Source organism: Homo sapiens, chromosome 6 (genome assembly GCF_000001405.40).
Source record: "Homo sapiens chromosome 6, GRCh38.p14 Primary Assembly".
NCBI classification, from domain to species: Eukaryota; Metazoa; Chordata; class Mammalia; order Primates; family Hominidae; genus Homo; species Homo sapiens.
Window position 1 is genome coordinate 34,858,043 of NC_000006.12, and position 13,895 is coordinate 34,871,937.

A 13,895-nucleotide genomic window follows, 5' to 3' on the forward strand; every position below is an offset into this window, starting at 1 on the left:
ATCTTTTACATGTGTATTAATAGTGGGATGCTGAGATACTCAGATGACCATTCTGAATTGTGTTTCATTTTCTCTGTGAAGGTGAGCTTTCCACTGGAAAAGAGAGAGCGGGCAGAGTTGCATCGTCCCCAGGCCCTTGTCTTCTCTGCGTCAGGCATGATTGCCACCAATACACGTCATGCTCCACATTGTAGTTGTTCAGACCTCCAGAGTCTCTTCCGGGGTTTTGCTGCTGCTGAGTTCTTTCATTCCAATTATGATCACTTTCCTAAGGTTCCAGGTGGCTTTAGCCTTCTGCACATGCTTTTTTTGCATCATGCCTTTCAGATGGATTCCTGCCTGCCTCAGCCTAATACCCTCCCTCCCCAGAGACCTAAGGCTTCCTGGGATCTCTGGTCTGTCCACTTTACCCAGATCTCCTTGGACTTTGAGGGAACAGAAAACTTCAAAGGCCATACCTTGAATTTTGTAGCCCCCTTCCCCCTGTCCATTTGGGCCTGCCTACCCCTCCGCTGGCAGCAAGCCCAGGCACGGAAGCTTCTTTTGGCCTCAGAGGGGAGGCTGAAACCATCAGCCAGTTTTGGAAGTCCTGTCCAGTCTGAGGCTCTTGCCCCTGACTCTATGTCCCATCCGCGGTCAAAGACTGAACATGACTTGAAAAGCTTATCAGGACTTACAGAAGTCATGGAAATTCTGAAAGAAGGCAGTAGTGGTATGGACAACAAAGGGCCTCTGACAGAGCTGGAGGATGTAGCAGATGTTCATATGCTTGTACATTCCCCGGCCCATGTCCGCGTGAGGCTTGACCACTACCAGTACTTGGCTCTGCTTCGCCTGAAGGAGGTGCTGCAGAGGCTTCAGGAGCAGCTGACTAAGGATACAGAGTCAATGACTGGGTCTCCCCTGCAGAATCAGACAGCTTGCATTGGAGTTCTCTTTCCCAGTGCTGAAGTGGCTCTGCTTATGCATCCTGCACCCGGTGCTGTCGATGCTGACTCTGCAGGCTCAGATAGCACTAGCCTCGTAGATTCAGAGCTATCTCCTTCAGAGGATCGGGAACTGAAGTCTGATGCCTCATCAGACCAGGGCCCAGCAAGCCCTGAGAAGGTCTTGGAGGAAAGTAGCATTGAAAATCAGGATGTATCCCAGGAGAGGCCACATAGCAATGGAGAACTGCAGGACTCAGGTCCACTTGCCCAGCAGCTGGCAGGGAAGGGCCATGAGGCAGTAGAGTCCCTACAGGCCAAGAAACTGAGCAGAACCCAAGCCTCCAGCTCACCAGCTGCATTGAAGCCCCCAGCTGGCAGGGAGACTGCTGTGAATGGACAGGGTGAGCTCATCCCCTTGAAGAACATTGAGGGAGAATTGTCAAGTGCTATTCACATGACCAAGGATGCCACCAAGGAGGCTCTACATGCCACCATGGACCTCACCAAGGAAGCTGTGTCCCTGACTAAGGATGCCTTCAGTTTGGGCAGAGATCGAATGACCTCCACCATGCACAAGATGTTGTCCCTGCCCCCAGCCAAGTAAGTGGCTCTGTACCTCCTTCACTCATCCCATCTCCTTCTCCTAGTTCTGATCATTGGGTTTAAGGCCTCTTACTATGTGCATTTCTAGATTGGGAAGTACCATATAGTCCAGGAGAATGCATAGAATGGCCTATTTAATGGGCAGTTTTCAAGCCAATATTTATTGCTTCTTAGAATCAGATTATCTCCTTTTTCACTGATTCACTATTTTTTCCCCTCAAGACAGGCCTTACCGTGTTAGCCAGGCTGGTCTTGAACTGCTGGGCTCTGCAATCCTCCTGCCTTGGCTTCCTGAGTAGCTGGGATTATAGACACCTGCCACTGTACCCAGCTTGCTTCACAATTATTGATACAAATATGCTATATCAGAATAATAATAATGGCATATATATAATATTATTTTCAGTGGGCTTTCATCTAATTTTTTTGTTTGATTTGATCCCCACAGCAGCCTGGTAAGGTGGCCTCAGACATTTGTACCCCCAGTTTATAGCTGAGAAAACTGAGGCTTTAGAGAGGATGAGCTCATAGATATCCTATATCTTGTAAATAGAAAAGTTGTGGCTTTGGACTTGTTTTTTCTGGTACCTTATCAGTGTCTGTCAGAGTAATAGAGAAGGAAGAATTTCATCCATTCAGCAAGTATCTTGTGAGCGCTTTCTGTGTGCTGGGCTCTGTGTTAAGCGCCAGAGATAGAGTAGGGAGTAAACAGGAAAACACAGAAATGCACAGTGAGACGAGTGGAAAAGTATCGATTTTCCCATGGGTGCCTCATGGTTTTAGGAAAGATAGAGTCTAAGGGAAGTCTTTCCTGGAACACTTTGTGGTTTAGAGACCATGGTATAAAAACAGTGCATTTAGAGCTTTTGTCTAAGTGAATTATCTTAAGTGGGTCTCTAATGCCTGTGGGTGAGCTAGTACCTGCTAGGACAGACAGCAAGGAGGAAGGAGAGGAAAACTTCAAGGGTCGAGTTGTATAATAATACTAGCCAACATTTACTGAGTGCCTTCTTTGCCTGACAAGACACAGTCCTAAGTACTTATAATATTGGTCCACTGGATTTTTATAATAGCCCTATAAGGCAAGTATTAATATCAATCCCCATCTCACAGATGAGGAAACTGAGGCTCAGAGAGGTAAGAAACTTGCACAAGATCACACAACTTGTGAGTGGTGGGGCAAGGATTAAAAGCCTGGACTTCTAATCACCCAATGTGCTGCCTTTTCTAAATGGAGACAAGTAAGGGAGATGGAAAAAGAGCAGAGGTGAAAAAGAGAAAAGAAAGGTGTGTGAAATGAGCCCTTTTAAAACATCAACAGTGACTTCCTAACTGCCCAAGCCCGTGGCCTTTCCTCAGTCCCCCTTCTCCTGGACTCCTCTATGGTAGTTAACATTGCTGATCAGTTCATTCTGAATATTTGTAACCCCACCCAGTTACTCTCAATTCTCTGAAGGAGTCTTCTTTTTCCTTGGCTGCTCTCTTCTTCCTTTTATCCTATAGGTGTAAATACTCCACAGGGCTAGGCTGTCCATATTCTGATCACTTTTGTCATAATTTTAATTTTTAATTTTTTTTTTTTGAGACAGGTCTCATTCTGTTGCCCAGTGGTGCGATCTCTGCTCACTGCAGCCTCGACCTCCCAGGTTCAAGTGATCCTCCTGCCTCAGCCTCCTGAGTAGCTGGGACCACAGGCATGCGCCACCACGCCCAGCTAATTTTTGTATTTTTGGTAGAGATGGGGTTTTGCCATGTTGCCCAGGCTAGTCTCAAACTCTTGGGCTCAAGCGATTCACCCACCTCAGCCTCCCAAAATGCTGGGATTACAGGTGTGAGCCACTGTGCCTGGCCTATAATTTTAATTTTTTAAATTATAAAAATGGTTTGTGTTTATCGTGTTGACAGTGTAGGAAATAAGAGAGTAAAGAAGAAAATATAAAAATCACTTGTAACAATCCACAGATAACCACTGTTTACATTTGGGTGTATTTTCTTCCAATCTTTGTATGTCTGCATTCATGTGTGCACTTGTGGATGGTTATGCATATAATATCCACAAATACTGTTTTTACAACAATAGGATTATATTATTTCTACAATGTTACATGCTGCTTTATTCACTCAATGTTTTATTATGATATTTTCCCATTCATTAGGCATATGAATATATGATTTTTATTTATTTTTATTTTTGGAGATGTGGTTTCACCATGTTGCACAGGCTGGTCTTGAACTCTTGGGCGCAAGTGACTCTCCCACCTTGGCTTCCCAAAGCACTAGGGTTATAAGCATAAGCCACTTCCCCTGGCTGAATACATGATTTTTAATTGCTCCATTATATTCTAGTAAATTGATATATCATAATTTATTGATCCATTCCTCTATCTGGGGAGTCATTTAGTCTGTTTCCCATTTTACTCAGGTAGAACCAATGCTGTATGAAATGTCCTTATTTTTGTGAACTTTAATCTTTGGAATATTTTACATATCTAAATCTTTCTTTAGAATAAAAACCAAAAAGTGGCTGGGTGCGGTGGCTCACGCTTGTAATCCCAGCACTTTGGGGGGCCAAGGCAGGCAGATCACGAGGCCAGGAGATGAGACCATCCTGACTAACACAGTGAAATCCCGTCTCTACTAAAAATACAAAAAATTAGCTGGGTGTGGTGGCACGTGCCTGTAGTCCAGCTACTCGGGAGGCTGAGGCAGGAGAATGGCTTGAACCTGGGAGGCGGAGCTTGCAGTGAGCTGAGATCATGCCACTGCACTCCAGCCTGGGTGATAGAGCGAGACTCCGTCTCAAAAAAAAAAAATAATAATAAAATAAAATAAAAACCAAAAAGTGAAATTATTAGGTCAAATGCTACAAACATTTTTAAAGTTGTTGATGCATTTGCCAAACTTTCAGGTTTGTAACAGTCTGTGCTTCTTAATAGTTTCTCTCTCAGAATCCCCTGCAGGGTTTGTTAAAACATAGTGGCTGGGCGCGGTGGCTCACGCCTGTAATCCCGGCACTTTGGAAGGCTGAGGCAGGCAGATCACGAGGTCAGGAGATGGAGACCATGCTGGCTAACACGGTGAAACCCTGTCTCTACTAAAAATACAAAAAATTAGCTGAGTGTGTTGGCATGCACCTGTAGTCCCAGCTACTCTGGAGGCTGAGGCAGGAGAATTGCTTGAACCCAGGAGGTGGAGGTTGCAGTGAGCCGAGATCATGCCACTGCACTCCAGCCTGGGCAATACAGTGAGACTCCATCTCAAAAAAAAAAAAAACCAAAAACATAGTTTTCTGAGCCCTATTTCTCATTCATGGAATGAGATGGGGCCTGATAATTTGCTTTTTTTTTTTATTGAGATGAAGTCTCACTCTGTCGCCCAGGCTGGAGTGCAGTGGTGTGATCTCGGCTCACTGCTGCCTCGACCTCCCAGGCTCAGGTGATCCTCTCATCTCAGCCCCCAGTAGCTGGACTACAGGCGCGCACCATCATGCCTGGCTAATCTTTGTATTTTTTTGTAGAGACCAGGTTTTGCCATGTTGCCCAGGCTGGTCTCGAACTCCTGGATTCAAGCCATCTGCCTGCCTTGGCCTCCCAAAGTGCTGGGAATATAGGCGTGAGTCACTGCGCCCGGCCTGAGTTTTTCTTAATTCTACCTTTAACTGTAACCTTGGGACAGTTTCTTCATCTGTAAAATGGGAGGGTGGTATTTAAAGGTCCTTAAAGGTTTCTTTTCACTGTGTTAATGCCTTTTTAACTTTATCTTCCATTGCTCTCCCTGACAAAACCTATGCTTCAGCTGGGCAGAGCTATTATTCTTACCAGTTTCTTTTTGTTTCTGGCTGTATGCCTTTGTTTATGCCATTGCCTATAGAATACCCTCTTCTCACTTTCACAGTCCTTCAAGGACCACCTCAAATGTTATTTCTTACCACAAAGCCACTCTTGATCCTCTTCTCCTTGTCCTTTTTCCTCTTTGATGTTGTCTAGAACTGGGGATGTCTTACTCATCAATTTATCCGTCTCCCACTCCTGCCTAGTGCCTAGTATGGTGCCTTACATACAGAAGCAACTAAATACTTATGGAATGAATGCAGGTGGCTTCAGGTGCCATTCATCAGCACCAGAGCAGTAGGTAGCTGGTCTCTTCTGAGTCTGGGATGACCTTGAATAAACTTGACATTTAATGTTGATATGAGAGCGCTGTCCATGCAGTTAGCGATGTTGGAATAAAAAGATTCAGAAAGGCCAGTGATTGAAAAATGACTTGATCTCTTTACAGCCAGTAATAGGTAATGTCAAAGTTGTATGTTCCTAATATTGGGAACTTTATCCAGTTGTCTGAGCTGAAAGGGATGGGTATTGTAAGTGGATGGGAATAAACATGTCTCCAAAGCCACATTTGTGGTTTTTGTTTTTTTTTTTAAACAGGGAGCCCATGGCCAAGACAGATGAGGGGGTGGCAGCCCCAGTGAGTGGAGGTGCTGCACGACTCCGATTTTTCTCCATGAAGAGGACGGTATCTCAACAGTCATTTGATGGTGTCTCATTGGATAGCAGTGGCCCTGAAGACCGGATTTCAGTGGACAGTGATGGCAGTGATAGCTTTGTGATGCTCTTGGAGTCTGGTATGTGGGAGCAGAGCCAGGCAAAGTTGCAGAAGTCCAGAAAGGGTTCTCTCTGCTGCCTGTATCAGACTGGCAGGGCTAAAGAGGAGCTGAGAGATGATAATATAGACATTTTCTTAATCAAGACAAAAAAAGAGAGACAGAGAAATTTTGGTGGACTTGTGGGTTTGGGTTTAATTCCATGTTTCTAGGTTATTGGTTAATAACTGACTATATCACAGAAAGAGATTCAAACCAAAGGAGAAAGCACTAGTCTTACAGCCTTATAGCTAAGTCAGGATTAGTTTCATGGTTGGTATCAGTGGTGTGAGTGTGCTTATAGTCTTTTTTTTTTTTTTTTTTTTGCCTGTGTTGTCACTGGAAAATAGGAGCTTTTTATCTGTTAATAAAATGAGAAACTTTTAGGAATTACCTCTGTAAGTTAAACTGGTTCTTTCAGTTTATTGAAATAATAGAAACTTAGGAAATGATCCTTTAAGAGTATCTAGGCTGGGCACAGTGGCTGACGCCTGTAATCCCAGCACTTTGGGAGGCCGAGGCGGGTGGATCACTTGAGGTCGAGAGTTGGAGACTAGCCTGGCCAACATGGTAAAAACCTGTCTCTACTAAAAATAGAAAAATTAGCTGGGCTTAGCGGCAGGTGCTTGTAATCTCAACTACTCGGGAGGCTGAGGCAGGAGAATTGTTTGAACCGGGGAGGTGGAGGATGCAGTGAGCTGAGATTGCGCCACTGCATTCCAGCCTGGGCGACAGCGAGACTCCATCTCAAAAAAAAGAGAGAATGTCCTATTTATTTATTTATTTTATATTGACAAATTATAATTGTATCTATGTGGTATTAATACTAAGCGATCCTATGATATATACACACACACATACAGTGTGGGATTTTTGAGCCAAACTAATTAACATCTCCGTCACCTCAAATACTTACCATTTATTTCTCCTGTTTAACTGAAACATTACACGTTCACTAACATTTCCTCCTAACCCCTCCCATTTCCCTTTTCAGCCTCTGTTAAGCACCATCCTGCTCTCTGCTTTTATGAGTACAGTTGTTTTACATTCCATGTGTAAGTGAGCACATGCTATTTTTGTCTTTCAGTGCCTGGCTTATCTCATTTAGCATATTGTCTGTCCTCCAGATTCATCTACGTTATCACAAATGACAGGATTTCCCTCTCATAAGGCTGAATAGTATTCCATTGTGTGTTTGTACCACATTTTCTTTATCTGTTCATTGGTTGATGAACACATAAGTTGATCCCATAACTTGGCTGTTGTGAATAATGTTGTAGTAAACACAGGAATGGAGATAGTTCTTTGATATACTTTTTTTCATATTCCTTGGATATATACCCAGAAGTGGATATGGTAACTCTATTTTTAGCTTTGAGGACCCTTCATACTGTTTTCCATAATGCCCATATTAATTTACATTTCCACCAACAGGGTGCTAGGGTTTCCTTTTCTCTACATCCTTGCCAACACTTGTTATCTTTAATCTTTTTGAGAATAGGCATTCTGACAGGAGTGAGTTAATATTTCACTGTGGTTTTAATTTAAGAGAATGCACCGTTTCTTAAGCTGGGTGGCATGTACCATGTTTGTTTTGTTATTATTTTTAACTTCTTATGGAAGATTTCATGTCTATGTACAAAAGTAGACAGAATCAAATAATGAACCCTCATACACCCATTACCTAGCTTTGAAATTAAGAACTCATGGCAGGCCCGGGGCAGTGGCTCACGCCTGTAATCCCAGCCTTTTGGGAGGCCAAGGTGGGCGGATCACTTAAGGTGAAACCTAATTCTCAAATTTAAATTAAAGTTCTGAAAAATCTCCTGGGGTTCTTATATATTCACCTTAGACAGCAATTAAACTTGTGACTGGATTTCTGCCTTGGGAAGCATCCAGTCTAAAAGGAAAGAGAAGGCCGGCACAGTACCTCACGCGTGTAATCCCAGCACTTTGGGAGGCCCAGACAGGCAGATCAGGAGTTTGAGACCAGCCTGGCCAACATGGTGAAACTCTGTCTCTACTAAAAATACAAAAATTAGCCAGGGATGGTGGCGTGCGCCTGTAATCCCAGCTACTCAGAAGGCTGAGGTGGGAGATTGCTTGAACCCAGGAGGTGGAGGTTGTAGTGAGCCGAGATCACGCCATTGCACTCCCCTGGGCGACAGAGCGAGACTATTCCATCTCAAAAAAAAGAAAAAAAAAAAAGAACTCGTGGCCATTTTTGTTTCATAAACACTACTGCCCACTTTCCTTCATCTCATAATATTTTGAAGCAAATCCCAAACATATCCTTTTGTCCATAAATATTTTCAGTTATGCATTGCTAGAAAATACAGACTTAAATTTTTTTAAATTGTGGTAAAATACATATGAAATTTGCCATCCTAACCGTTTTTAAGTGGATAGTTCAGTGACATTAAGTACATTCTGATTGTTGTACAATCATTACTACTGTCTATCTGCAGGATGTTTTTCTTCTTGCGAAACAGAAACTCTGTACTCATTAAACAGTAACTCCTCATTTCCCCTCCCCTCAGTCCCTGACAACCATGATTCTACTTTATTTTTATAAATTTGCCTACTTTAGGTACCTCATATAAGTGGAATCATGCAGTATTTGTCCTTTTATCACTGGCTTATTCCACTTGGTATATCCTCAAGATTCTTCTATTTTGTAGCGTGTGTCAGAATTTCCTTCCTTTTTAAGGCTGAATAGTGTTCCATTGTATTTATATACCACATTGCTTATCCTTGCATCCATGGAAGGACACTTGGGTTGCTTCTGTTTACAGACTTTTAAAAATGGGATCAAATGTCATTACACTTTAAAAAATTAAGAGTAATTCCTTAAATTCATCAAATATCTAGTTAGTCCTCAAATTTCTAGTTGTCTCATGAATGTCATAAGTATTTTGTTTTATTTTTACAGTTGTCATTGTTTGTAGAGGTTGGATTTGAACAGAATATTTTGACTTTTAAATTCATTTGTCCTCTTTTTCATGCAGAGTCTGGTCCAGAATCTGTTCCACCAGGATCTCTTTCAAATGTCTCAGATAATGCTGGTGTTCAAGGGAGCCCTCTTGTGAATAATTATGGCCAGGGGTCACCAGCAGCCAACAGTTCAGTTTCACCCAGTGGAGAAGACCTCATCTTTCACCCGGTCAGCAGCTCTACTTTCTTCTCTGCAGAGGGTAGGCTCTGGGCTGAGAGCTTGGGACTTAAAACTAAGAGAATCTCCTTTGATAGGTCTCAGTTCTGGTCCTGAAGGTGAATGAGGTGTCTTTTGGGATTGAGGTACGTGGTGAGGACCTGACTGTGGCCCTGCAAGCAGAGGAACTGACCCTCCAGCAGCTGGGCACCGTGGGACTCTGGCAGTTCCTGCATGGACAGTGCCCAGGTAAGGATGGTAGTCATTCCACGACAGATCATGGGACTTGTCTAGGACAGCCATAGATTAACTTGTACTTGTCACTGTGCTCTAAGGGCAGCCACTCTACTAGTGCCAAGTTCTCTCCAGCAGCCATTAGGGGGAGGAAAAACTCCATTGAAGCCTTTTTTGCAAAGAGCCTCTCAGAGCTCTTTCTGGGGCTTTGCATTCACTGTGCTAGTCTCCAACTTCACTTCCAGGTACTCCTGGAGCTTATAGATGAGGACAGTGTCCACTTCATTTGTGTGTCTCTTAACATAAAACTATCTGATCAGGGAACTTCTGTCATTCAGATTCAGTCCTTTGATGTGAATTTTCATTTATAAAAGATGACAAGAAAAATCTTGGCTTATGTTACATACTTCATTTAAAAATTATTGGCTGGGCGCGGGGCTCATGCCTGTAATCCCAGCACTTTGGGAGGCTGAGGTGGGTGGATCACCTGAGGTCAGGAGTTCGAGACCAGCCTGGCCAACATGGTAAAACGCTGTCTCTACTAAAATATAAAAATTAGCTGGGCGTGGTGGCGGGTGCCTGTAATCCCAGCTACTTGGGAGGCTGAGGCAGGAGAATTGCTTGAACCCAGGAGGTGGAGGTTGCAGTGAGCTGAGATCGTGCCATTGCACTGCAGCCTGGGTGACAAGAGTGAAACTCTGTCTCAAAAAATATATATATATAAATATATTTTTAGGCTGAGCATGGTGGCTCATGCCTGTAATCCCAGCACGCTGGGAAGCTGAGGTGGGAAACCAGCCTGAACAACATAGCAAGACCTCAGCTGTACAAAAAATACAGGCTGGGTGTGGTGGCTCATGCCTGTAATCCTAGCACTTTGGGAGGCCCAGGATGGTGGATCACTTGAGGTCAGGAATTTGAAACCACCCTGGCCAACATGGTGAAACCCCGTCTCTACTAAAATACAAAAAAATTAGCTAGGTGTGGTGGCAGGCACCTGTAATCCCAGCTACTTGGGAGGCTGAGGCAGGAGAATTGCTTGAACCGGGGAGGCGGAGGTTGCAGTGAGCCGAGATCGCGCCCTTGTACTACAGCCTGGGTGACAGAGCAAGACTCTGTTTAAAAAAAAAAAAAAAAAAATTAGCTCGGTGTGGCGGTGCGTGCCTATAGTTCTAGCTGCTTGGGAGGCTGAGGTGAGTGGATCATGTGAGTCTAGGAGTTTGAGACTACAGTGAGCTATAATTGCACCACTGCACTCCAGCCTGGGCAATAGAGCAAGACCCTGTCTCTTAAAAAACATTAAAATATTGAGTAGATACTGAAGAACACTTATAAAATATATGTAAGGCATAAAATAATAACAATACAATGAACCCATTTACTCACCACCTAGTTTGTTTTATTGTTTTTTAATTTTTTTTTGAGACACAGTCTTGCTCTGTTGCCCAGGCTGGAGTGCAGTGGCACGAATTCGACGTGCTGCAACCTTCACCTCCTTCAAGCAATTCTCCTGGCTCATCCTCCTGAGTAGCTGGGAATACAGGCACACACCACCACGCCCAGCTTATTTTTGTATTTTTAGTAGAGATGGGGTTTCACCATGTTGACCAGGCTGGTCTCAAACTCCTGGCCTCAAGCGATCTGTCCATGTCAGCCTCCCAAAGTGCTGGAATTACAGGCCTGAGCCACCATGCCTGGCCCCACCACCTAGTTTAATTAATACAACAGTACCATTACCTTTTAAGTCTCTGGGAGTCCCTCTCCTGAACCTCCTTCTGTCCCTCACCTGTCATAGGTAATCACTATCCTGAATTTGTATTCATTGTTATCTTGCTTTACTTTATAATTTGTACACGTGTTTATATTAATGTATTTTTAGCTTTTTTCACATTTTTCTAAATGGAATAATAGATTGTACTATTTTTGTGATTTGCTTCTTTCAAGTAACATGATATTCTTTAAATTCATCTAGGTTGTTGAATTAGCTATAATTTGTTCATTTTTCATTACTATATAATGTTATTGTATACATACACCACTTTTTTTTTTTTTTTTTTTTTTTTTTTTGAGGCAGAGTCTTGCTGGGTTGCCCAGGCCGGAGTGCAGTGGTTGCAATCTCAGCCCACTGCAACCTCCGCCTCCCGGGTTCAAGTGATTCTCATGCCTCAGCCTCCTCAGTAGCCAGGACTACAGGTGCCTGCCACCACGCCTGACTAATTTTTTTGTATTTTTAGACAGGGTTTCACCATGTTGCTCAGGATGGTCTTGAACTCCTGAACTCAAGTGATCCACCCGCCTCAGCCTCCCAAAGTCTTAGGATTACAGGCATGAGCCACTGTGCACGGCACTTTTTGCTTTTTGAAAACAGCTTTATTGAAGTATAATTTGCATAACATAAAATTCACTCATTTTAAGTGTACAATTTTATAATTGTGTAACCATCACCACAACCCAATTTTAGAACATTTCCATGACCCCCAAAATATCCCTGTACCCATTATACTATTTACTTCTTTATTCTATTCTGGACAGCCATTTGGGTTATTTCTAGTTTTTGTTTGTTTGTTTGTTTTTCCAGTTTCAAATAGGGTTGCTGTGAACATCCTTGTACATGTCTCTTGGAATATATGTTTGAGAGTTTCCCTGGGGTTGTATTTCTGACAATATAATTTCTAGATCATTAGGGTAGGCACAACTTCACCTTTACTAGATAATACCAAATTGTTATGCAAAATGTTTGTACCAATTTGCAGTTCCATAAATGTGTAAGTTGTTCCACAGGATCCTTGGCTACACCTGAGAGTGTTCTGTTTGGAGTTTTGGAGAGATTAGCATAGATCCTGCTTTGCTTTATGAGTGACAGATGAGAAAACCAAGACTTAGAGAAAGGAGGAGACATTCAAATTTAGTAGAGTTTGGGAGTCCTGTGTTTTAAGAGCTTTTCCTTGGCCATTAGCCCACTGTCTCACATTCATAACAAGGCCAATCCTTAATCTCTCTTCCACCTTGCAAGGCATTATAGCAAAGTATCTAAGCCCATGGACTTGGCAATCAGACTGCCTGGGTTCAGATCCTCTCCTTGCTACTTACTAATTATGTAATTTTGGGCAAGTTATTCTCTGTGACTTCGTTCAGTCAGATGAGAATGATGATATTCCTTTGACATAGGGTTATTATGAATATTGGTATATAAGGTGCCTAGAAGACTCCCTGGCCGTTAATTAGTTGTCTTCCTTGTCTTTCTTCACAAAGGTACATGCTTTCAGGAATCCTCAACTTTGAAGACTGGCCACATCAGGCCAGCTGTGGGCCTTCGCTTTGAGGTGGGGCCTGGAGCAGCTGTTCATTCCCCCCTGGCCTCACAAAATGGCTTCCTACATTTATTGCTTCATGGCTGTGACCTCGAGCTGCTCACTTCAGTGCTCAGTGGCCTGGGGCCCTTCTTGGAGGATGAGGAGATCCCGGTGGTAGTCCCCATGCAGATTGAGCTTCTGAACTCCAGCATCACCCTAAAGGTGTGAGGAACCTTTGGTTTTTGCCAATGTAAGGGCACATTGGTTTTTGCCCTGGACTTTGTCAAGCAAGGAAGCAGTGACACCTGTTAACCTCTTCCCTTTTCACTGTAAAATATGGTGAGGATCAAGTGAGGAAATATTAATACATATTTGCATTCTCTGTCAGTGTTATAGTGGTATATAAATGTGTGTTGCTGTCAGAAAAGCCAGGGTTCAGGTGAGGAGACCTTGTCTGTAACCCTAACCCTGTCTTTGGCATGCAGCATTACCATGTGCAAGCCATCAGGTTATCTGATTCTCAGTTTCACCATCTCTAGATGGGAGAATCTGCCATGCCTCTTATACCTTCCAAGAATGTATGGACAAACTGGCATAAAGCTGCTTCAAGCTGAATGATGGGAGCATGGGTTGTGTTAAATTGCTCTGAGCTGGTGGGGGGCATCATGTGGTTTCTCTCTTTCCTGCAGGATGATATCCCCCCCATCTATCCAACATCTCCAGGCCCCATCCCCATCACTCTGGCCATGGAACATGTTGTGCTGAAGAGGAGTGATGATGGTGTGTTCCACATAGGCGGTGAGTCAGGCTTGTCAGCCTGTTGGTTTCTCTGCCTTTTCTCCTAAAAGTGAATAGGTGACACCTAGGAACTGTTTGGGAGTTGGCAGCAGTTTGTCACTTAGAACCTTTACTTGTTTTCTCCAGCTGCTGCTCAGGACAAACCATCAGCTGAAGTACTTAAAAGTGAGAAGAGACAGCCCCCAAAAGAACAGGTGTTTTTGGTGCCCACAGGAGAGGTTTTTGAACAGCAGGTGAGGACCTAA

General features: G+C 43.4%; 1 protein-coding gene across 1 annotated transcript in view; it reads left to right on the plus strand.

The window, feature by feature from the left end:
* BLTP3A (bridge-like lipid transfer protein family member 3A) overlaps positions 1-13,895 on the plus strand; it is an 85,432-nt gene that overhangs the window by 65,960 nt on the left and 5,577 nt on the right. The window contains exons 14-20 of the mRNA NM_017754.4: positions 82-1,529; positions 5,960-6,156; positions 9,183-9,337; positions 9,424-9,574; positions 12,812-13,074; positions 13,542-13,650; positions 13,777-13,883. Of these exons, the coding sequence (NP_060224.3) occupies positions 82-1,529; positions 5,960-6,156; positions 9,183-9,337; positions 9,424-9,574; positions 12,812-13,074; positions 13,542-13,650; positions 13,777-13,883 (2,430 nt within the window). The remainder of the gene's footprint in view (positions 1-81; positions 1,530-5,959; positions 6,157-9,182; positions 9,338-9,423; positions 9,575-12,811; positions 13,075-13,541; positions 13,651-13,776; positions 13,884-13,895) is intronic.